The sequence below is a fragment of the Homo sapiens genome, chromosome 17, assembly GCF_000001405.40.
Source record: "Homo sapiens chromosome 17, GRCh38.p14 Primary Assembly".
Classification (NCBI taxonomy): domain Eukaryota; kingdom Metazoa; phylum Chordata; class Mammalia; order Primates; family Hominidae; genus Homo; species Homo sapiens.
In genome coordinates, this window is record NC_000017.11 from 26,149,315 (window position 1) to 26,175,396 (window position 26,082).

At 40.9% G+C, this 26,082-nt stretch overlaps 1 annotated feature.

The window, feature by feature from the left end:
• Nucleotides 1-26,082: part of a centromere (Linear centromere model derived predominantly from reads generated in PMID: 17803354. This region does not represent an actual centromere sequence, as long-range ordering of repeats and unmapped WGS contigs is not provided by the model. For details of model production, see http://arxiv.org/abs/1307.0035.) that runs on past both edges of the window.

Consider the following 26,082-nt stretch of genomic DNA (forward strand, 5'->3'; position numbering starts at 1 on the left):
TCACAGAGCTGAACATTCCTTTGGATGGAGCAGGTTTGAGACACACTTTTTGTAGAATCTACAAGTGGATATTTGGACCTCTCTGAGGATTTCGTTGGAAACGGGATAACTGCACCTAACTAAACGGGAAGCATTCTCAGAAACTACTTTGTGATGATTGCATTCACCTCACAGAGTTGAACATTCCTATTGAGAGAGCAGTTTGGAAACACTCTTGTTGGAGAATCTGCAAGTGGAGATTTGGAGCGCTTTGAGGCCTATGGTAGTAAAGGGAATATCTTCATATAAAAACTAGACAGATGCATTCTCAGGAACTTTTTGGTGATGTTTGTATTCAACTCCCAGAGTTGAACTTTCCTTTGGAAAGAGCAGCTATGAAACACTCTTTTTCTAGAATCTGCAAGTGGACGTTTGGAGGGCTTTGTGGTTTGTGGTGGAAAAGGAAATATCTTCACCTAAATACTAGATAGAAGCATTCTCAGAAGCTTCTCTGTGATGACTGCATTCAACTCACGGAGTTGAACACTCCTTTTGAGAGCGCAGTTTTGAAACTCTCTTTCTGTGGCATCTGCAAGGGGACATGTAGACCTCTTTGAAGATTTCATTGGAAACGGAATCATCTTCACATCAAAACTATACAGAAGCAGTCTCAGAATCTTCTTTGTGATGTTTGCATTCAAATCCCAGAGTTGAACTTTTCTTTCCAAGTTCACGTTTGAAACACTCTTTTTGCAGGATCTACAAGTGGATATTTGGACCACTCTGTGTCCTTCGTTCGAAACGGGTATATCTTCACATGAAATCTAGACAGAAGCTTTCTCAGAAAATTCTTTGGGATGATTGAGTTGAGCAAACAGAGCTGAACACTCCTTGTGATGTAGCAGTTTAGAAACACACTTTCTGCAGAATCTGCAAGTGCATATGTGGACCTCTCTGAGGAATTCGTTGGAAACGGGATAATTTCAGCTGACTAAACAGAAGCATTCTCAGAACCTTCTTCGTGATGTCTGCATTCAACTCACAGTGTGGAACCTTTCTTTGATAGTTCAGGTTTGAAACACTCTTTTTGTAGAAACTGCAAGGGGATAATTGCACTTCTTTGAGGCCTACCGTAGTAAAGGAAATAACTTCCTATAGAAAGAAGACAGAAGCATTCTCAGAACCCTCTTCGTGATGTTTGCATTCAACTCACAGTGCTGAACCTTTCTTTGATAGTTCAGCTTTGAAACACTCTTCTTGTAGAAACTGCAAGTGGATATTTGGTCCTCTCTGAGGATTTCGTTGGAAACGGGATAAACCGCACAGAACTAAACAGAAGCATTCTCAGAACCTTCTTCGTGATGTTTGCATTCAACTCACAGTGTTGAACCTTTCTTTGATAGTTCAGGTTGGAAACGGTCTTTCTGTAGAAACTGCAAGTAGATATTTGGACCTCTCTGAGGATTTCGTTGGAAACGGGATAAACCGCACAGAACTAAAACAGAAGCATTCACAGAAAACTCTTGGTGACGACTGAGTTTAACTCACAGAGCTGAACATTCCTTTGGATGGAGCAGTTTCGAAACACACTATTTGTAGAATCTGCAAGTGGATATTTGGGCCTCTCTGAGGATTTCGTTGGAAACGGGATAAAACGCACAGAACTAAAACAGAAGCATTCTGAGAAACTACTTTGTGATGATTGCATTCAAGTCACAGAGCTGAACATTCCCTTTGACAGAGCAGTTTGGAAACTCTCTTTGTGTAGAATCTGCAAGTGGAGATATGGAATGCTTTGAGGACTATGGTAGTAAAGGAAATAGCTTCATAGACAAGCTAGACAGTAGCATTCTCAGAAACTTCTTTGTGATGCTTGCATTCAACTCACAGAGTTGAACTTTCCTTTCGAGAGAGAAGCTTTGAAACACTCTTTTTCCAGAATCTGCAAGTGGACATTTGGAGGGCTTTGAGGCCTGTGGTGGAAAAGGAATTATCTTCCCGTAAAAGCTAGATAGAAGCATTGTCAGAAACTTCTTTGTGATGATTGCATTCAACTCACAGAGTTGAAGGTTCCTTTTCAAAGAGCAGTTTCCAATCACTCTTTCTGTGGAATCTGCAAGTGGATATTTCGACCTATTTTGAAGATTTCGTTGGAAACGGGATAATCTTCACAGAAAAGCTAAACAGAAGCATTCTCAGAAACTTCTCTGTGATGTTTGTGTTCAACTCCCAGAGTTTCACATTGCTTTTCATAGAGTAGTTCTGAAACATGCTTTTCGTAGTGTCTACAAGTGGACATTTGGAGCGCTTCCAGGCCTGTGGTGGAAAACGAATTATGGTCACATAAAAACTGGAGAGAAGCCTTCTCAGAAACTTCTCTGTGATGATTGCATTCAACTCACAGAGTTGAACCCTCCTATGGATAGAGCAGTGTTGAAACTCTCTTTTTGTGGAACCTGCAAGTGGATATGTGGACCTCTCCGAAGATGTCTTTGGAAACGGGAATATCTTCACATAAAAACTAAACAGAAGCATTCTCAGAAACTTCTTGGTGATGTTTGCATTCAAATCCCAGAGTTGAACCTTCCTTTGACAGTTCAGGTTTGAAACACTCTTTTTGTAGGATCTGCAAGTGGATATTTGGACCACTCTGTGGCCTTCGTTCGAAACGGGTACATCTTCACATAAAATCTAGACAGAAGCATTCTCAGAAAATACTTTGTGATGATTGAGTTGAACTCACAGAGCTGAACATTCCTTTGGATGGAGCAGGTTTGAGACACACTTTTTGTAGAATCTACAAGTGGATATTTGGACCTCTCTGAGGATTTCGTTGGAAACGGCATAACTGCACCTAACTAAACGGAAGCATTCTCAGAAACTGCTTTGTGATGATTGCATTCACCTCACAGAGTTGACCATTCCTATTGATACAGCAGTTTGGAAACCCTCTTGTTGTGGAATGTGCAAGTGCAGATTTGGAGCGCTTTGAGGCCTATGGTAGTAAAGGGAATAGCTTCATAGAAAAACTAGACAGATGCATTCTCGGGAACTTTTTGGTGATGTTTGTATTCAACTCCCAGAGTTGAACTTTCCTTTGGAAAGAGCAGCTATGAAACACTCTTTTTCTAGAATCTGCAAGTGGACGTTTGGAGGGCTTTGTGGTTTGTGGTGGAAAAGGAAATATCTTCACCTCAATACTAGATAGAAGCATTCTCAGAAGCTTCTCTGTGATGACTGCATTCAACTCACGGAGTTGAACACTCCTTTTGAGAGCGCAGTTTTGAAACTCTGTTTCTGTGGCATCTGCAAGGGGACATGTAGACCTCTTTGAAGATTTCGTTGGAAACGGAATCATCTTCACATCAAAACTATACAGAAGCAGTCTCAGAATCTTCTTTGTGATGTTTGCATTCAAATCCCAGAGTTGAACTTTCCTTTCAAAGTTCACGTTTGAAACACTCTTTTTGCAGGATCTACAAGTGGATATTTGGACCACTCTGTGTCCTTCGTTCGAAAAGGGTATATCTTCACATGAAATCTAGACAGAAGCTTTCTCAGAAAATTCTTTGGGATGATTGAGTTGAACTCACAGAGCTGAACATTCCTTGCGATGGAGCAGTTTAGAAACACACTTTCTGCAGAATCTGCAAGTGCATATTTGGACCTCTCTGAGGAATTCGTTGGAAACGGGATAATTTCAGCTGACTAAACAGAAGCATTCTCAGAACCTTCTTCGTGATGTCTGCATTCAACTCACAGTGTGGAACCTTTCTTTGATAGTTCAGGTTTGAAACACTCTTTTTGTAGAAACTGCAAGGGGATAATTGCACTTCTTTGAGGCCTACCGTAGTAAAGGAAATAACTTCCTATAGAAAGAAGACAGAAGCATTCTCAGAACCCTCTTCGTGATGTTTGCATTCAACTCACAGTGCTGAACCTTTCTTTGATAGTTCAGCTTTGAAACACTCTTTTTGTAAAAACTGCAAGTGAATATTTGGTCCTCTCTGAGGATTTCGTTGGAAACGGGATAAAACGCACAGAACTAAACAGAAGCATTCTCAGAACCTTCTTCGTGATGTTTGCATTCAACTCACAGTGTTGAACCTTTCTTTGATAGTTCAGGTTTGAAACGGTCTTTCTGTAGAAACTGCAAGTAGATATTTGGACCTCTCTGAGGATTTCGTTGGAAACGGGATAAACCGCACAGAACTAAAACAGAAGCATTCACAGAAAACTCTTGGTGACGACTGAGTTTAACTCACAGAGCTGAACATTCCTTTGGATGGAGCAGTTTCGAAACACACTATTTGTAGAATGTGCAAGTGGATATTTGGGCCTCTCTGAGGATTTCGCTGGAAACGGGATAAACCGCACAGAACTAAACAGAAGCATTCTCAGAAACTACTTTGTGATGATTGCATTCAAGTCACAGAGTTGAACATTCCCTTTGACAGAGCAGTTTGGAAACTCTCTTTGTGTAGAATCTGCAAGTGGAGATATGGACCGCTTTGAGGCCTATGGTAGTAAAGGAAATAGCTTCATATAAAAGCTAGACAGTAGCATTCTCAGAAACTTCTTTGTGATGCTTGCATTCAACTCACAGAGTTGAACTTTCCTTTCGAGAGAGAAGCTTTGAAACACTCTTTTTCCAGAATCTGCAAGTGGACATTTGGAGGGCTTTGAGGCCTGTGGTGGAAAAGGAATTATCTTCCCGTAAAAGCTAGATAGAAGCATTGTCAGAAACTTCTTTGTGATGATTGCATTCAACTCACAGAGTTGAAGGTTCCTTTTCAAACAGCAGTTTCCAATCACTCTTCCTGTGGAATCTGCAAGTGGATATTTGGACCTCTTTGAAGATTTCGTTGGAAACGGGAGAATCTTCACAGAAAAGCTAAACAGAAGCATCCTCAGAAACTTCTCTGTGATGTTTGTGTTCAACTCCCAGAGTTTCACATTGCTTTTCATAGAGTAGTTCTGAAACATGCTTTTCGTAGTGTCTGCAAGTGGACATTTGGAGCGCTTTCAGGCCTGTGGTGGAAAACGAATTATGGTCCCATAAAAACTGGAGGGAAGCCTTCTCAGAAACTTCTCTGTGATGATTGCATTCAACTCACAGATTTGAACCCTCCTATGGATAGAGCATTGTTGAAACTCTCTTTTTGTGGAATCTGCAAGTGGATATGTGGACCTCTCCGAAGATGTCTTTGGAAACGGGAATATCTTCGCATAAAAACTAAACAGAAGCATTCTCAGAAACTTCTTGGTGATGTTTGCATTCAAATCCCAGAGTTGAACCTTCCTGTGATAGTTCAGGTTTGAAACACTCTTTTTGTAGGATCTGCAAGTGGATATTTGGACCACTCTGTGGCCTTCGTTCGAAACGGGTACATCTTCACATAAAATCTAGACAGAAGCATTCTCAGAAAATACTTTGTGATGATTGAGTTTAACTCACAGAGCTGAACATTCCTTTGGATGGAGCAGGTTTGAGACACACTTTTTGTAGAATCTACAAGTGGATATTTGGACCTCTCTGAGGATTTCGTTGGAAACGCGATAACTGCACCTAACTAAACGGAAGCATTCTCAGAAACTGCTTTGTGATGATTGCATTCACCTCACAGAGTTGAACATTCCTATTGATAGAGCAGTTTGGAAACACTCTTGTTGTGGAATGTGCAAGTGGAGATTTGGAGCGCTTTGAGGCCTATGGTAGTAAAGGGAATAGCATCATAGAAAAACTAGACAGATGCATTCTCAGGAACTTTTTGGTGATGTTTGTATTCAACTCCCAGAGTTGAACTTTCCTTTGGAAAGAGCAGCTATGAAACACTCTTTTTCTAGAATCTGCAAGTGGACGTTTGGAGGGCTTTGTGGTTTGTGGTGGAAAAGGAAATATCTTCACCTAAATACTAGATAGAAGCATCCTCAGAAGCTTCTCTGTGATGACTGCATTCAACTCACGGAGTTGAACACTCCTTTTGAGAGCGCAGTTTTGAAACTCTCTTTCTGTGGCATCTGCAAGGGGACATGTAGACCTCTTTGAAGATTTCGTTGGAAACGGAATCATCTTCACATAAAAACTACACAGAAGCAGTCTCAGAATCTTCTTTGTGATGTTTGCATTCAAATCCCAGAGTTGAACTTTCCTTTCAAAGTTCACGTTTGAAACACTCTTTTTGCAGGATCTACAAGTGGATATTTGGACCACTCTGTGTCCTTCGTTCGAAACGGGTATATCTTCACACGACATCTAGACAGAAGCTTTCTCAGAAAATTCTTTGGGATGATTGAGTGGAACTCACAGAGCTGAACATTCCTTGCGATGTAGCAGTTTAGAAACACACTTTCTGCAGAATCTGCAAGTGCATATTTGGACCTCTCTGAGGAATTCGTTGGAAACGGGATAATTTCAGCTGACTAAACAGAAGCATTCTCAGAACCTTCTTCGTGATGTCTGCATTCAACTCACAGTGTGGAACCTTTCTTTGATAGTTCAGGTTTGAAACACTCTTTTTGTGGAAACTGCAAGGGGATAATTGCACTTCTTTGAGGCCTACCGTAGTAAAGGAAATAACTTCCTATAAAAAGAAGACAGAAGCATTCTCAGAACCCTCTTCGTGATGTTTGCATTCAACTCACAGTGCTGAACCTTTCTTTGATAGTTCAGCTTTGAAACACTCTTCTTGTAGAAACTGCAAGTGGATATTTGGTCCTCTCTGAGGATTTCGTTGGAAACGGGATAAACCGCACAGAACTAAACAGAAGCATTCTCAGAACCTTCTTCGTGATGTTTGCATTCAACTCACAGTGTTGAACCTTTCTTTGATAGTTCAGGTTTGAAACGGTCTTTCTGTAGAAACTGGAAGTAGATATTTGGACCTCTCTGAGGATTTCGTTGGAAACGGGATAAACCGCACAGAACTAAAACAGAAGCATTCACAGAAAACTCTTGGTGACGACTGAGTTTAACTCACAGAGCTGAACATTCCTTTGGATGGAGCAGTTTCGAAACACACTATTTGTAGAATGTGCAAGTGGATATGTGGGCCTCTCTGAGGATTTCGTTGGAAACGGGATAAACCGCACAGAACTAAACAGAAGCATTCTCAGAAACTACTTTGTGATGATTGCATTCAAGTCACAGAGTTGAACATTCCCTTTGACAGAGCAGTTTGGAAACTCTCTTTGTGTAGAATCTGCAAGTGGAGATATGGACCGCTTTGAGGCCTATGGTAGTAAAGGAAATAGCTTCATATAAAAGCTAGACAGTAGCATTCTCAGAAACTTCTTTGTGATGCTTGCATTCAACTCACAGAGTTGAACTTTCCTTTCGAGAGAGAAGCTTTGAAACACTCTTTTTCCAGAATCTGCAAGTGGACATTTGGAGGGCTTTGAGGCCTGTGGTGGAAAAGGAATTATCTTCCCGTAAAAGCTAGATAGAAGCATTGTCAGAAACTTCTTTGTGATGATTGCATTCAACTCACAGAGTTGAAGGTTCCTTTTCAAACAGCAGTTTCCAATCACTCTTTCTGTGGAATCTGCAAGTGGATATTTGGGCCTCTCTGAGGATTTCGTTGGAAACGGGATAAAACGCACAGAACTAAAACAGAAGCATTCTCAGAAACTTCTCTGTGATGTTTGTGTTCAACTCCCAGAGTTTCACGTTGCTTTTCATAGAGTAGTTCTGAAACATGCTTTTCGTAGTGTCTGCAAGTGGACATTTGGAGCGCTTTCAGGCCTGTGGTGGAAAACGAATTATGGTCACATAAAAACTGGAGAGAAGCCTTCTCAGAAACTTCTCTGTGATGATTGCATTCAACTCACAGAGTTGAACCCTCCTATGGATAGAGCAGTGTTGAAACTCTCTTTTTGTGGAATCTGCAAGTGGATATGTGGACCTCTCCGAAGATGTCTTTGGAAACGGGAATATCTTCACATAAAAACTAAACAGAAGCATTCTCAGAAACTTCTTGGTGATGTTTGCATTCAAATCCCAGAGTTGAACCTTCCTTTGATAGTTCAGGTTTGAAACACTCTTTCTGTAGGATCTGCAAGTGGCTATTTGGACCACTCTGTGGCCTTCGTTCGAAACGGGTATATCTTCGCATAAAATCTAGACAGAAGCATTCTCAGAAAATACTTTGTGATGATTGAGTTTAAATCACAGAGCTGACCATTCCTTTGGATGGAGCAGGTTTGAGACACACTTTTTGTAGAATCTACAAGTGGATATTTGGACCTCTCTGAGGATTTCGTTGGAAACGGGATAACTGCACCTAACTAAACGGAAGCATTCTCAGAAACTGCTTTGTGATGATTGCATTCACCTCACAGAGTTGAACATTCCTATTGATAGAGCAGTTTGGAAACACTCTTGTTGTGGAATGTGCAAGTGGAGATTTGGAGCGCTTTGAGGCCTATGGTAGTAAAGGGAATAGCTTCATAGAAAAACTAGACAGGATGCATTCTCAGGAACTTTTTGGTGATGTTTGTATTCAACTCCCAGAGTTGAACTTTCCTTTGGAAAGAGCAGCTATGAAACACTCTTTTTCTAGAATCTGCAAGTGGACGTTTGGAGGGCTTTGTGGTTTGTGGTGGAAAAGGAAATATCTTCACCTAAATACTAGATAGAAGCATCCTCAGAAGCTTCTCTGTGATGACTGCATTCAACTCACGGAGTTGAACACTCCTTTTGAGAGCGCAGTTTTGAAACTCTCTTTCTGTGGCATCTGCAAGGGGACATGTAGACCTCTTTGAAGATTTCGTTGGAAACGGAATCATCTTCACATAAAAACTATACAGAAGCAGTCTCAGAATCTTCTTTGTGATGTTTGCATTCAAATCCCCGAGTTGAACTTTCCTTTCAAAGTTCACGTTTGAAACACTCTTTTTGCAGGATCTACAAGTGGATATTTGGACCACTCTGTGTCCTTCGTTCGAAACGGGTATATCTTCACATGACATCTAGACAGAAGCTTTCTCAGAAAATTCTTTGGGATGATTGAGTTGAACTCACAGAGGTGAGCATTCCTTGCGATGTAGCAGTTTAGAAACACACTTTCTGCAGAATCTGCAAGTGCATATTTGGACCTCTGTGAGGAATTCGTTGGAAACGGGATAATTTCAGCTGACTAAACAGAAGCATTCTCAGAACCTTCTTCGTGATGTCTGCATTCAACTCACAGTGTGGAACCTTTCCTTGATAGTTCAGGTTTGAAACACTCTTTTTGTAGAAACTGCAAGGGGATAATTGCACTTCTTTGAGGCCTACCGTAGTAAAGGAAATAACTTCCTATACAAAGAAGACAGAAGCATTCTCAGAACCCTCTTCGTGATGTTTGCATTCAACTCACAGTGCTGAACCTTTCTTTGATAGTTCAGCTTTGAAACACTCTTTTTGTAGAAACTGCAAGGGGATATTTGGTCCTCTCTGAGGATTTCGTTGGAAACGGGATAAACCGCACAGAACTAAACAGAAGCATTCTCAGAACCTTCTTCGTGATGTTTGCATTCAACTCACAGTGTTGAACCTTTCTTTGATAGTTCAGGTTTGAAACGGTCTTTGTGTAGAGACTGCAAGTAGATATTTGGACCTCTCTGAGGATTTCGTTGGAAACGGGATAAACCGCACAGAACTAAAACAGAAGCATTCACAGAAAACTCTTGGTGACGACTGAGTTTAACTCACAGAGCTGAACATTCCTTTGGATGGAGCAGTTTCGAAACACACTATTTGTAGAATGTGCAAGTGGATATTTGGGCCTCTCTGAGGATTTCGTTGGAAACGGGATAAACCGCACAGAACTAAACAGAAGCATTCTCAGAAACTACTTTGTGATGATTGCATTCAAGTCACAGAGTTGAACATTCCCTTTGACAGAGCAGTTTGGAAACTCTCTTTGTGTAGAATCTGCAAGTGGAGATATGGACCGCTTTGAGGCCTATGGTAGTAAAGGAAATAGCTTCATATAAAAGCTAGACAGTAGCATTCTCAGAAACTTCTTTGTGATGCTTGCATTCAACTCACAGAGTTGAACTTTCCTTTCGAGAGAGAAGCTTTGAAACACTCTTTTTCCAGAATCTGCAAGTGGACATTTGGAGGGCTTTGAGGCCTGTGGTGGAAAAGGAATTATCTTCCCGTAAAAGCTAGATAGAAGCATTGTCAGAAACTTCTTTGTGATGATTGCATTCAACTCACAGAGTTGAAGGTTCCTTTTCAAACAGCAGTTTCCAATCACTCTTTCTGTGGAATCTGCAAGTGGATATTTGGGCCTCTCTGAGGATTTCGTTGGAAACGGGATAAAACGCACAGAACTAAAACAGAAGCATTCTCAGAAACTTCTCTGTGATGTTTGTGTTCAACTCCCAGAGTTTCACGTTGCTTTTCATAGAGTAGTTCTGAAACATGCTTTTCGTAGTGTCTGCAAGTGGACATTTGGAGCGCTTTCAGGCCTGTGGTGGAAAACGAATTATGGTCACATAAAAACTGGAGAGAAGCCTTCTCAGAAACTTCTCTGTGATGATTGCATTCAACTCACAGAGTTGAACCCTCCTATGGATAGAGCAGTGTTGAAACTCTCTTTTTGTGGAATCTGCAAGTGGATATGTGGACCTCTCCGAAGATGTCTTTGGAAACGGGAATATCTTCACATAAAAACTAAACAGAAGCATTCTCAGAAACTTCTTGGTGATGTTTGCATTCAAATCCCAGAGTTGAACCTTCCTTTGATAGTTCAGGTTTGAAACACTCTTTTTGTAGGATCTGCAAGTGGATATTTGGACCACTCTGTGGCCTTCGTTCGAAACGGGTATATCTTCGCATAAAATCTAGACAGAAGCATTCTCAGAAAATACTTTGTGATGATTGAGTTTAACTCACAGAGCTGAACATTCCTTTGGATGGAGCAGGTTTGAGACACACTTTTTGTAGAATCTACAAGTGGATATTTGGACCTCTCTGAGGATTTCGTTGGAAACGCGATAACTGCACCTAACTAAACGGAAGCATTCTCAGAAACTGCTTTGTGATGATTGCATTCACCTCACAGAGTTGAACATTCCTATTGATAGAGCAGTTTGGAAACACTCTTGTTGTGGAATGTGCAAGTGGAGATTTGGAGCGCTTTGAGGTCTATGGTAGTAAAGGGAATAGCTTCATAGAAAAACTAGACAGATGCATTCTCAGGAACTTTTTGGTGATGTTTGTATTCAACTCCCAGAGTTGAACTTTCCTTTGGAAAGAGCAGCTATGAAACACTCTTTTTCTAGAATCTGCAAGTGGACGTTTGGAGGGCTTTGTGGTTTGTGGTGGAAAAGGAAATATCTTCACCTAAATACTAGATAGAAGCATTCTCAGAAGCTTCTCTGTGATGACTGCATTCAACTCACGGAGTTGAACACTCCTTTTGAGAGCGCAGTTTTGAAACTCTCTTTCTGTGGCATCTGCAAGGGGACATGTAGACCTCTTTGAAGATTTCGTTGGAAACGGAATCATCTTCACATAAAAACTATACAGAAGCAGTCTCAGAATCTTCTTTGTGATGTTTGCATTCAAATCCCAGAGTTGAACTTTCCTTTCAAAGTTCACGTTTGAAACACTCTTTTTGCAGGATCTACAAGTGGATATTTGGACCACTCTGTGTCCTTCGTTCGAAACGGGTATATCTTCACATGACATCTAGACAGAAGCTTTCTCAGAAAATTCTTTGGGATGATTGAGTTGAACTCACAGAGCTGAACATTCCTTGCGATGGAGCAGTTTAGAAACACACTTTCTGCAGAATCTGCAAGTGCATATTTGGACCTCTCTGAGGAATTCGTTGGAAACGGGTTAATTTCAGCTGACTAAACAGAAGCATTCTCAGAACCTTCTTCGTGATGTCTGCATTCAACTCACAGTGTGGAACCTTTCTTTGATAGTTCAGGTTTGAAACACTCTTTTTGTAGAAACTGCAAGGGGATAATTGCACTTCTTTGAGGCCTACCGTAGTAAAGGAAATAACTTCCTATAGAAAGAAGACAGAAGAATTCTCAGAGCCCTCTTCGTGATGTTTGCATTCAACTCACAGTGCTGAACCTTTCTTTGATAGTGCAGCTTTGAAACACTCTTTTTGTAGAAACTGCAAGTGGATGTTTGGTCCTCTCTGAGGATTTCGTTGGAAACGGGATAAACCGCACAGAACTAAAACAGAAGCATTCTCAGAACCTTCTTCGTGATGTTTGCATTCAACTCACAGTGTTGAACCTTTCTTTGATAGTTCAGGTTTGAAACGGTCTTTCTGTAGAAACTGCAAGTAGATATTTGGACCTCTCTGAGGATTTCGTTGGAAACGGGATAACCCGCACAGAACTAAAACAGATAGCATTCACAGTAAAACTCTTGGTGACGACTGAGTTTAACTCACAGAGCTGAACATTCCTTTGGATGGAGCAGTTTCGAAACACACTATTTGTAGAATCTGCAAGTGGATATTTGGGCCTCTCTGAGGATTTCGTTGGAAACGGGATAAAACGCACAGAACTAAAACAGAAGCATTCTCAGAAACTACTTTGTGATGATTGCATTCAAGTCACAGAGTTGAACATTCCCTTCGACAGAGCAGTTTGGAAACTCTCTTTGTGTATAATCTGCAAGTGGAGATATGGACCGCTTTGAGGCCTATGGTAGTAAAGGAAATAGCTTCATATAAAAGCTAGACAGTAGCATTCTCAGAAACTTCTTTGTGATGCTTGCATTCAACTCACAGAGTTGAACTTTCCTTTCGAGAGAGAAGCTTTGAAACACTCTTTTTCCAGAATCTGCAAGTGGACATTTGGAGGGCTTTGAGGCCTGTGGTGGAAAAGGAATTATCTTCCCGTAAAAGCTAGATAGAAGCATTGTCAGAAACTTCTTTGTGATGATTGCATTCAACTCACAGAGTTGAAGGTTCCTTTTCAAAGAGCAGTTTCCAATCACTCTTTCTGTGGAATCTGCAAGTGGATATTTCGACCTCTTTGAAGATTTCGTTGGAAACGGGAGAATCTTCACAGAAAAGCTAAAGAGAAGCATTCTCAGAAACTTCTCTGTGATGTTTGTGTTCAACTCCCAGAGTTTCACATTGCTTTTCATAGAGTAGTTCTGAAACATGCTTTTCGTAGTGTCTGCAAGTGGACATTTGGAGCGCTTTCAGGCCTGTGGTGGAAAACGAATTATGGTCACATAAAAACTGGAGAGAAGCCTTCTCAGAAACTTCTCTGTGATGATTGCATTCAACTCACAGAGTTGAACCCTCCTATGGATAGAGCAGTGTTGAAACTCTCTTTTTGTGGAATCTGCAAGTGGATATGTGGACCTCTCCGAAGATGTCTTTGGAAACGGGAATATCTTCACATAAAAACTAAACAGAAGCATTCTCAGAAACTTCTTGGTGATGTTTGCATTCAAATCCCAGAGTTGAACCTTCCTTTGATAGTTCAGGTTTGAAACACTCTTTCTGTAGGATCTGCAAGTGGCTATTTGGACCACTCTGTGGCCTTCGTTCGAAACGGGTATATCTTCGCATAAAATCTAGACAGAAGCATTCTCAGAAAATACTTTGTGATGATTGAGTTTAAATCACAGAGCTGACCATTCCTTTGGATGGAGCAGGTTTGAGACACACTTTTTGTAGAATCTACAAGTGGATATTTGGACCTCTCTGAGGATTTCGTTGGAAACGGGATAACTGCACCTAACTAAACGGAAGCATTCTCAGAAACTGCTTTGTGATGATTGCATTCACCTCACAGAGTTGAACATTCCTATTGATAGAGCAGTTTGGAAACACTCTTGTTGTGGAATGTGCAAGTGGAGATTTGGAGCGCTTTGAGGCCTATGGTAGTAAAGGGAATAGCTTCATAGAAAAACTAGACAGATGCATTCTCAGGAACCTTTTGGTGATGTTTGTATTCAACTCCCAGAGTTGAACTTTCCTTTGGAAAGAGCAGCTATGAAACACTCTTTTTCTAGAATCTGCAAGTGGACGTTTGGAGGGCTTTGTGGTTTGTGGTGGAAAAGGAAATATCTTCACCTAAATACTAGATAGAAGCATTCTCAGAAGCTTCTCTGTGATGACTGCATTCAACTCACGGAGTTGAACACTCCTTTTGAGAGCGCAGTTTTGAAACTCTCTTTCTGTGGCATCTGCAAGGGGACATGTAGACCTCTTTGAAGATTTCGTTGGAAACGGAATCATCTTCACATAAAAACTATACAGAAGCAGTCTCAGAATCTTCTTTGTGATGTTTGCATTCAAATCCCAGAGTTGAACTTTCCTTTCAAAGTTCACGTTTGAAACACTCTTTTTGCAGGATCTACAAGTGGATATTTGGACCACTCTGTGTCCTTCGTTCGAAACGGGTATATCTTCACATGACATCTAGACAGAAGCTTTCTCAGAAAATTCTTTGGGATGATTGAGTTGAACTCACAGAGCTGAACATTCCTTTGAATGGAGCAGGTTTGAGACACACTTTTTGTAGAATCTACAAGTGGATATTTGGACCTCTCTGAGGATTTCGTTGGAAACGGGATAACTGCACATAACTAAACGGAAGCATTCTCAGAACCTTCTTCGTGATGTCTGCATTCAACTCACAGTGTGGAACCTTTCTTTGATAGTTCAGGTTTGAAACACTCTTTTTGTAGAAACTGCAAGGGGATAATTGCACTTCTTTGAGGCCTACCGTAGCAAAGGAAATAACTTATTATAAAAAGAAGACAGAAGCATTCTCAGAACCCTCTTCGTGATGTTTGCATTCAACTCACAGTGCTGAACCTTTCTTTGATAGTTCAGCTTTGAAACACTCTTCTTGTAGAAACTGCAAGTGGATATTTGGTCCTCTCTGAGGATTTCGTTGGAAACGGGATAAACCGCACAGAACTAAACAGAAGCATTCTCAGAACCTTCTTCGTGATGTTTGCATTCAACTCACAGTGTTGAACCTTTCTTTGATAGTTCAGGTTTGAAACGGTCTTTCTGTAGAAACTGCAAGTAGATATTTGGACCGCTCTGAGGATTTCGTTGGAAACGGGATAACCCGCACAGAACTAAAACAGAAGCATTCACAGAAAAGTCTTGGTGACGACTGAGTTTAACTCACAGAGCTGAACATTCCTTTGGATGGAGCCGTTTCGAAACACACTATTTGTAGAATGTGCAAGTGGATATTTGGGCCTCTCTGAGGATTTCGTTGGAAACGGGATAAACCGCACAGAACTAAACAGAAGCATTCTCAGAAACTACTTTGTGATGATTGCATTCAAGTCACAGAGTTGAACATTCCCTTTGACAGAGCAGTTTGGAAACTCTCTTTGTGTAGAATCTGCAAGTGGAGATATGGACCGCTTTGAGGCCTATGGTAGTAAAGGAAATAGCTTCATATAAAAGCTAGACAGTAGCATTCTCAGAAACTTCTTTGTGATGCTTGCATTCAACTCACAGAGTTGAACTTTCCTTTCGAGAGAGAAGCCTTGAAACACTCTTTTTCCAGAATCTGCAAGTGGACATTTGGAGGGCTTTGAGGCCTGTGGTGGAAAAGGAATTATCTTCCCGTAAAAGCTAGATAGAAGCATTGTCAGAAACTTCTTTGTGATGATTGCATTCAACTCACAGAGATGAAGGTTCCTTTACAAACAGCAGTTTCCAAACACTCTTTCTGTGGAATCTGCAAGTGGATATTTGGACCTCTTTGAAGATTTCGTTGGAAACGGGAGAATCTTCACAGAAAAGCTAAACAGAAGCATTCTCAGAAACTTCTCTGTGATGTTTGTGTTCAACTCCCAGAGTTTCACATTGCTTCTCATAGAGTAGTTCTGAAACATGCTTTTCGTAGTGTCTGCAAGTGGACATTTGGAGCGCTTTCAGGCCTGTGGTGGAAAACGAATTATGGTCACATAAAAACTGGAGAGAAGCCTTCTCAGAAACTTCTCTGTGATGATTGCATTCAACTCACAGAGTTGAACCCTCCTATGGATAGAGCAGTGTTGAAACTCTCTTTTTGTGGAATCTGCAAGTGGATATGTGGACCTCTCCGAAGATGTCTTTGGAAACGGGAATATCTTCACATAAAAACTAAACAGAAGCATTCTCAGAAACTTCTTGGTGATGTTTGCATTCAAATCCCAGAGTTGAACCTTCCTTTGATAGTTCAGGTTTGAAACACTCTTTTTGTAGGATCTGCAAGTGGCTATTTGGACCACTCTGTGGCCTTCGTTCGAAACGGGTATATCTTCGCATAAAATCTAGACAGAAGCATTCTCAGAAAATACTTTGTGATGATTGAGTTTAACTCACAGAGCTGAACATTCCTTTGGATGGAGCAGGTTTGAGACACACTTTTTGTAGAATCTACAAGTGGATATTTGGACCTCTCTGAGGATTTCGTTGGAAACGGGATAACTGCACCTAACTAAACGGAAGCATTCCCAGAAACTGCTTTGTGATGATTGCATTCACCTCACAGAGTTGAACATTCCTATTGATAGAGCAGTTTGGAAACACTCTTGTTGTGGAATGTGCAAGTGGAGATTTGGAGCGTTTTGAGACCTATGGTAGTAAAGGGAATAGCTTCATAGAAAAACTAGACAGATGCATTCTCAGGAACTTTTTGGTGATGTTTGTATTCAACTCCCAGAGTTGAACTTTCCTTTGGAAAGAGCAGCTATGAAACACTCTTTTTCTAGAATCTGCAAGTGGACGTTTGGAGGGCTTTGTGGTTTGTGGTGGAAAAGGAAATATCTTCACCTAAATACTAGATAGAAGCATTCTCAGAAGCTTCTCTGTGATGACTGCATTCAACTCACGGAGTTGAACACTCCTTTTGAGAGCGCAGTTTTGAAACTCTCTTTCTGTGGCATCTGCAAGGGGACATGTAGACCTCTTTGAAGATTTCGTTGGAAACGGAATCATCTTCACATAAAAACTATACAGAAGCAGTCTCAGAATCTTCTTTGTGATGTTTGCATTCAAATCCCAGGAGTTGAACTTTCCTTTCAAAGTTCACGTTTGAAACACTCTTTTTGCAGGATCTACAAGTGGATATTTGGACCACTCTGTGTCCTTCGTTCGAAACGGGTATAACTTCACACGACATCTAGACAGAAGCTTTCTCAGAAAATTCTTTGGGATGATTGAGTTGAGCAAACAGAGCTGAACATTCCGTGCGATGTAGCAGTTTAGAAACACACTTTCTGCAGAATCTGCAAGTGCATATGTGGACCTCTCTGAGGAATTCGTTGGAAACGGGATAATTTCAGCTGACTAAACAGAAGCATTCTCAGAACCTTCTTCGTGATGTCTGCATTCAACTCACAGTGTGGAACCTTTCTTTGATAGTTCAGGTTTGAAACACTCTTTTTGTAGAAACTGCAAGGGGATCCTTGCACTTCTTTGAGGCCTACCGTAGTAAAGGAAATAACTTCCTATAAAAAGAAGACAGAAGCATTCTCAGAACCCTCTTCGTGATGTTTGCATTCAACTCACAGTGCTGAACCTTTCTTTGATAGTTCAGCTTTGAAACACTCTTCTTGTAGAAACTGCAAGTGGATATTTGGTCCTCTCTGAGGATTTCGTTGGAAACGGGATAAACCGCACAGAACTAAACAGAAGCATTCTCAGAACCTTCTTCGTGATGTTTGCATTCAACTCACAGTGTTGAACCTTTCTTTGATAGTTCAGGTTTGAAACGGTCTTTCTGTAGAAACTGCAAGTAGATATTTGGACCACTTTGAGGATTTCGTTGGAAACGGGATAAACCGCACAGAACTAAAACAGAAGCATTCACAGAAAACTCTTGGTGACGACTGAGTTTAACTCACAGAGCTGAACATTCCTTTGGATGGAGCAGTTTCGAAACACACTATTTGTAGAATCTGCAAGTGGATATTTGGGCCTCTCTGAGGATTTCGTTGGAAACGGGATAAAACGCACAGAACTAAAACAGAAGCATTCTCAGAAACTACTTTGTGATGATTGCATTCAAGTCACAGAGTTGAACATTCCCTTTGACAGAGCAGTTTGGAAACTCTCTTTGTGTAGAATCTGCAAGTGGAGATATGGACCGCTTTGAGGCCTATGGTAGTAAAGGAAATAGCTTCATATAAAAGCTAGACAGTAGCATTCTCATAAACTTCTTTGTGATGCTTGCATTCAACTCACAGAGTTGAACTTTCCTTTCGAGAGAGAAGCTTTGAAACACTCTTTTTCCAGAATCTGCAAGTGGACATTTGGAGGGTTTTGAGGCCTGTGGTGGAAAAGGAATTATCTTCCCGTAAAAGCTAGATAGAAGCATTGTCAGAAACTTCTTTGTGATGATTGCATTCAACTCACAGAGTTGAAGGTTCCTTTTCAAACAGCAGTTTCCAATCACTCTTTCTGTGGAATCTGCAAGTGGATATTTGGGCCTCTCTGAGGATTTCGTTGGAAACGGGATAAAACGCACAGAACTAAAACAGAAGCATTCTCAGAAACTTCTCTGTGATGTTTGTGTTCAACTCCCAGAGTTTCACGTTGCTTTTCATAGAGTAGTTCTGAAACATGCTTTTCGTAGTGTCTGCAAGTGGACATTTGGAGCGCTTTCAGGCCTGTGGTGGAAAACGAATTATGGTCACATAAAAACTGGAGAGAAGCCTTCTCAGAAACTTCTCTGTGATGATTGCATTCAACTCACAGATTTGAACCCTCCTATGGATAGAGCATTGTTGAAACTCTCTTTTTGTGGAATCTGCAAGTGGATATGTGGACCTCTCCGAAGATGTCTTTGGAAACGGGAATATCTTCACATAAAAACTAAACAGAAGCATTCTCAGAAACTTCTTGGTGATGTTTGCATTCAAATCCCAGAGTTGAACCTTCCTTTGATAGTTCAGGTTTGAAACACTCTTTTTGTAGGATCTGCAAGGGGCTATTTGGACCACTCTGTGGCCTTCGTTAGAAACGGGTACATCTTCGCATAAAATCTAGACAGAAGCATTCTCAGAAAATACTTTGTGATGATTGAGTTTAACTCACAGAGCTGAACATTCCTTTGGATGGAGCAGGTTTGAGACACACTTTTTGTAGAATGTACAAGTGGATATTTGGACCTCTCTGAGGATTTCGTTGGAAACGGGATAACTGCACCTAACTAAACGGAAGCATTCTCAGAAACTGCTTTGTGATGATTGCATTCACCTCACAGAGTTGAACATTCCTACTGATAGAGCAGTTTGGAAACACTCTTGTTGTGGAATGTGGAAGTGGAGATTTGGAGCGCTTTGAGGCCTATGGTAGTAAAGGGAATAGCTTCATAGAAAAACTAGACAGATGCATTCTCAGGAACTTTTTGGTGATGTTTGTATTCAACTCCCAGAGTTGAACTTTCCTTTGGAAAGAGCAGCTATGAAACACTCTTTTTCTAGAATCTGCAAGTGGACGTTTGGAGGGCTTTGTGGTTTGTGGTGGAAAAGGAAATATCTTCACCTAAATACTAGATAGAAGCATTCTCAGAAGCTTCTCTGTGATGACTGCATTCAACTCACGGAGTTGAACACTCCTTTTGAGAGCGCAGTTTTGAAACTCTCTTTCTGTGGCATCTGCAAGGGGACATGTAGACCTCTTTGAAGATTTCGTTGGAAACGGAATCATCTTCACATAAAAACTATACAGAAGCAGTCTCAGAATCTTCTTTGTGATGTTTGCATTCAAATCCCAGAGTTGAACTTTCCTTTCAAAGTTCATGTTTGAAACACTCTTTTTGCAGGATCTACAAGTGGATATTTGTACCACTCTGTGTCCTTCGTTCGAAACGGGTATATCTTCACATGACATCTAGACAGAAGCTTTCTCAGAAAATTCTTTGGGATGATTGAGTTGAGCAAACAGAGCTGAACACTCCTTGCGATGTAGCAGTTTAGAAACACCCTTTCTGCAGAATCTGCAAGTGCATATGTGGACCTCTCTGAGGAATTCGTTGGAAACGGGATAATTTCAGCTGACTAAACAGAAGCATTCTCAGAACCTTCTTCGTGATGTCTGCATTCAACTCACAGTGTGGAACCTTTCTTTGATAGTTCAGGTTTGAAACACTCTTTTTGTAGAAACTGCAAGGGGATAATTGCACTTCTTTGAGGCCTACCGTAGTAAAGGAAATAACTTCCTATAAAAAGAAGACAGAAGCATTCTCAGAACCCTCTTCGTGATGTTTGCATTCAACTCACAGTGCTGAACCTTTCTTTGATAGTTCAGCTTTGAAACACTCTTTTTGTAGAAACTGCAAGTGGATATTTGGTCCTCTCTGAGGATTTCGTTGGAAACGGGATAAACCGCACAGAACTAAACAGAAGCATTCTCAGAACCTTCTTCGTGATGTTTGCATTCAACTCACAGTGTTGAACCTTTCTTTGATAGTTCAGGTTTGAAACGGTCTTTCTGTAGAAACTGCAAGTAGATATTTGGACCTCTCTGAGGATTTCGTTGGAAACGGGATAAACCGCACAGAACTAAAACAGAAGCATTCACAGAAAACTCTTGGTGACGACTGAGTTTAACTCACAGAGCTGAACATTCCTTTGGATGGAGCAGTTTCAAAACACACTATTTGTAGAATCTGCTAGTGGATATGTGGGCCTCTCTGAGGATTTCGTTGGAAACGGGATAAACCGCACAGAACTAAAACAGAAGCATTCTCAGAAACTACTTTGTGATGATTGCATTCAAGTCACAGAGCTGAACATTCCCTTTCACAGAGCAGTTTGGAAACTCTCTTTGTGTAGAATCTGCAAGTGGAGATATGGAATGCTTTGAGGACTATGGTAGTAAAGGAAATAGCTTCATATAAAAGCTAGACAGTAGCATTCTCAGAAACTTCTTTGTGATGCTTGCATTCAACTCACAGAGTTGAACTTTCCTTTCGAGAGAGAAGCTTTGAAACACTCTTTTTCCAGAATCTGCAAGTGGACATTTGGAGGGCTTTGAGGCCTGTGGTGGAAAAGGAATTATCTTCCCGTAAAAGCTAGATAGAAGCATTGTCAGAAACTTCTTTGTGATGATTGCATTCAACTCACAGAGTTGAAGGTTCCTTTTCAAAGAGCAGTTTCCAATCACTCTTTGTGTGGAATCTGCAAGTGGATATTTGGACCTATTTTGAAGATTTCGTTGGAAACGGGAGAATCTTCACAGGAAAGCTAAACAGAAGCATTCTCAGAAACTTCTCTGTGATGTTTGTGTTCAACTCCCAGAGTTTCACGTTGCTTTTCATAGAGTAGTTCTGAAACATGCTTTTCGTAGTGTCTGCAAGTGGACATTTGGAGCGCTTTCAGGCCTGTGGTGGAAAACGAATTATGGTCACATAAAAACTGGAGAGAAGCCTTCTCAGAAACTTCTCTGTGATGATTGCATTCAACTCACAGAGTTGAACCCTCCTATGGATAGAGCAGTGTTGAAACTCTCTTTTTGTGGAATCTGCAAGTGGATATGTGGACCTCTCCGAAGATGTCTTTGGAAACGGGAATATCTTCACATAAAAACTAAACAGAAGCATTCTCAGAAACTTCTTGGTGATGTTTGCATTCAAATCCCAGAGTTGAACCTTCCTTTGAGAGTTCAGGTTTGAAACACTCTTTTTGTAGGATCTGCAAGTGGATATTTGGACCACTCTGTGGCCTTCGTTCGAAACGGGTACATCTTCGCATAAAATCTAGACAGAAGCATTCTCAGAAAATACTTTGTGATGATTGAGTTTAAATCACAGAGCTGACCATTCCTTTGGATGGAGCAGGTTTGAGACACACTTTTTGTAGAATCTACAAGTGGATATTTGGACCTCTCTGAGGATTTCGTTGGAAACGGGATAACTGCACCTAACTAAACGGAAGCATTCTCAGAAACTGCTTTGTGATGATTGCATTCACCTCACAGAGTTGAACATTCCTATTGATAGAGCAGTTTGGAAACACTCTTGTTGTGGAATGTGCAAGTGGAGATTTGGAGCGCTTTGAGGCCTATGGTAGTAAAGGGAATAGCTTCATAGAAAAACTAGACAGATGCATTCTCAGGAACTTTTTGGTGATGTTTGTATTCAACTCCCAGAGTTGAACTTTCCTTTGGAAAGAGCAGCTATGAAACACTGTTTTTCTAGAATCTGCAAGTGGACGTTTGGAGGGCTTTGTGGTTTGTGGTGGAAAAGGAAATATCTTCACCTAAATACTAGATAGAAGCATTCTCAGAAGCTTCTCTGTGATGACTGCATTCAACTCACGGAGTTGAACACTCCTTTTGAGAGCGCAGTTTTGAAACTCTCTTTCTGTGGCATCTGCAAGGGGACATGTAGACCTCTTTGAAGATTTCGTTGGAAACGGAATCATCTTCACATAAAAACTATACAGAAGCAGTCTCAGAATCTTCTTTGTGATGTTTGCATTCAAATCCCAGAGTTGAACTTGCCTTTCAAAGTTCACGTTTGAAACACTCTTTTTGCAGGATCTACAAGTGGATATTTGGACCACTCTGTGTCCTTCGTTCGAAACGGGTATATCTTCACATGACATCTAGACAGAAGCTTTCTCAGAAAATTCTTTGGGATGATTGAGTGGAACTCACAGAGCTGAACATTCCTTGCGATGTAGCAGTTTAGAAACACACTTTCTGCAGAATCTGCAAGTGCATATTTGGACCTCTCTGAGGAATTCGTTGGAAACGGGATAATTTCAGCTGACTAAACAGAAGCATTCTCAGAACCTTCTTCGTGATGTGTGCATTCAACTCACAGTGTGGAACCTTTCTTTGATAGTTCAGGTTTGAAACACTCTTTTTGTAGAAACTGCAAGGGGATAATTGCACTTCTTTGAGGCCTACCGTAGTAAAGGAAATAACTTCCTATAGAAAGAAGACAGAAGAATTCTCAGAGCCCTCTTCGTGATGTTTGCATTCAACTCACAGTGCTGAACCTTTCTTTGATAGTGCAGCTTTGAAACACTCTTTTTGTAGAAACTGCAAGTGGATGTTTGGTCCTCTCTGAGGATTTCGTTGGAAACGGGATAAACCGCACAGAACTAAAACAGAAGCATTCTCAGAACCTTCTTCGTGATGTTTGCATTCAACTCACAGTGTTGAACCTTTCTTTGATAGTTCAGGTTTGAAACGGTCTTTCTGTAGAAACTGCAAGTAGATATTTGGACCTCTCTGAGGATTTCGTTGGAAACGGGATAACCCGCACAGAACTAAAACAGAAGCATTCACAGAAAACTCTTGGTGACGACTGAGTTTAACTCACAGAGCTGAACATTCCTTTGGATGGAGCAGTTTCGAAACACACTATTTGTAGAATGTGCAAGTGGATATTTAGGCCTCTCTGAGGATTTCGTTGGAAACGGGATAAACCGCACAGAACTAAACAGAAGCATTCTCAGAAACTACTTTGTGATGATTGCATTCAAGTCACAGAGTTGAACATTCCCTTTGACAGAGCAGTTTGGAAACTCTCTTTGTGTAGAATCTGCAAGTGGAGATATGGACCGCTTTGAGGCCTATGGTAGTAAAGGAAATAGCTTCATATAAAAGCTAGACAGTAGCATTCTCAGAAACTTCTTTGTGATGCTTGCATTCAACTCACAGAGTTGAACTTTCCTTTCGAGAGAGAAGCTTTGAAACACTCTTTTTCCAGAATGTGCAAGTGGACATTTGGGGAGCTTTGAGGCCTGTGGTGGAAAAGGAATTATCTTCCCGTAAAAGCTAGATAGAAGCATTGTCAGAAACTTCTTTGTGATGATTGCATTCAACTCACAGAGTTGAAGGTTCCTTTTCAAACAGCAGTTTCCAATCACTCTTTCTGTGGAATCTGCAAGTGGATATTTGGGCCTCTCTGAGGATTTCGTTGGAAACGGGATAAAACGCACAGAACTAAAACAGAAGCATTCTCAGAAACTTCTCTGTGATGTTTGTGTTCAACTCCCAGAGTTTCACGTTGCTTTTCATAGAGTAGTTCTGAAACATGCTTTTCGTAGTGTCTGCAAGTGGACATTTGGAGCGCTTTCAGGCCTGTGGTGGAAAACGAATTATGGTCACTTAAAAACTGGAGAGAAGCCTTCTCAGAAACTTCTCTGTGATGATTGCATTCAACTCACAGAGTTGAACCCTCCTATGGATAGAGCAGTGTTGAAACTCTCTTTTTGTGGAATCTGCAAGTGGATATGTGGACCTCTCCGAAGATGTCTTTGGAAACGGGAATATCTTCACATAAAAACTAAACAGAAGCATTCTCAGAAACTTCTTGGTGATGTTTGCATTCAAATCCCAGAGTTGAACCTTCCTTTGATAGTTCAGGTTTGAAACACTCTTTCTGTAGGATCTGCAAGTGGCTATTTGGACCACTCTGTGGCCTTCGTTCGAAACGGGTATATCTTCGCATAAAATCTAGACAGAAGCATTCTCAGAAAATACTTTGTGATGATTGAGTTGAACTCACAGAGCTGAACATTCCTTTGGATGGAACAGGATTAAGACAAACTTTTTGTAGAATCTACAAGTGGATATTTGGACCTCTCTGAGGATTTCGTTGGAAACGGGATAACTGCACCTAACTAAACGGAAGCATTCTCAGAAACTGCTTTGTGATGATTGCATTCACCTCACAGAGTTGAACATTCCTATTGATAGAGCAGTTTGGAAACACTCGTGTTGTGGAATGTGCATGTGGAGATTTGGAGCGCTTTGAGGCCTATGGTAGTAAAGGGAATAGCTTCATAGAAAAACTAGACAGATGCATTCTCAGGAACTTTTTGGTGATGTTTGTATTCAACTCCCAGTGTTGAACTTTCCTTTGGAAAGAGCAGCTATGAAACACTCTTTTTCTAGAATCTGCAAGTGGACGTTTGGAGGGCTTTGTGGTTTGTGGTGGAAAAGGAAATATCTTCACCTAAATACTAGATAGAAGCATTCTCAGAAGCTTCTCTGTGATGACTGCATTCAACTCACGGAGTTGAACACTCCTTTTGAGAGCGCAGTTTTGAAACTCTCTTTCTGTGGCATCTGCAAGGGGACATGTAGACCTCTTTGAAGATTTCGTTGGAAACGGAATCATCTTCACATAAAAACTATACAGAAGCAGTCTCAGAATCTTCTTTGTGATGTTTGCATTCAAATCCCAGAGTTGAACTTTCCTTTCAAAGTTCACGTTTGAAACACTCTTTTTGCAGGATCTACAAGTGGATATTTGGACCACTCTGTGTCCTTCGTTCGAAACGGGTATATCTTCACATGACATCTAGACAGAAGCTTTCTCAGAAAATTCTTTGGGATGATTGAGTGGAACTCACAGAGCTGAACATTCCTTGCGATGGAGCAGTTTAGAAACACACTTTCTGCAGAATCTGCAAGTGCATATTTGGACCTCTCTGAGGAATTCGTTGGAAACGGGATAATTTCAGCTGACTAAACAGAAGCATTCTCAGAACCTTCTTCGTGATGTCTGCATTCAACTCACAGTGTGGAACCTTTCTTTGATAGTTCAGGTTTGAAACACTCTTTTTGTAGAAACTGCAAGGGGATAATTGCACTTCTTTGAGGCCTACCGTAGTAAAGGAAATAACTTCCTATTGAAAGAAGACAGAAGCATTCTCAGAACCTTCTTCGTGATGTTTGCATTCAACTCACAGTGTTGAACCTTTCTTTGATAGTTCAGGTTTGAAACGGTCTTTCTGTAGAAACTGCAAGTAGATATTTGGACCTCTCTGAGGATTTCGTTGGAAACGGGATAAACCGCACAGAACTAAACAGAAGCATTCACAGAAAACTCTTGGTGACGACTGAGTTTAACCCACAGAGCTGAACATTCCTTTGGATGGAGCAGTTTCGAAACACACTATTTGTAGAATGTGCAAGTGGATATTTGGGCCTCTCTGAGGATTTTGTTGGAAACGGGATAAACTGCCCAGAACTAAACAGAAGCATTCTCAGAAACTACTTTGTGATGATTGCATTCAAGTCACAGAGTTGAACATTCCCTTTGACAGAGCAGTTTGGAAACTCTCTTTGTGTAGAATCTGCAAGTGGAGATATGGACCGCTTTGAGGCCTATGGTAGTAAAGGAAATAGCTTCATATAA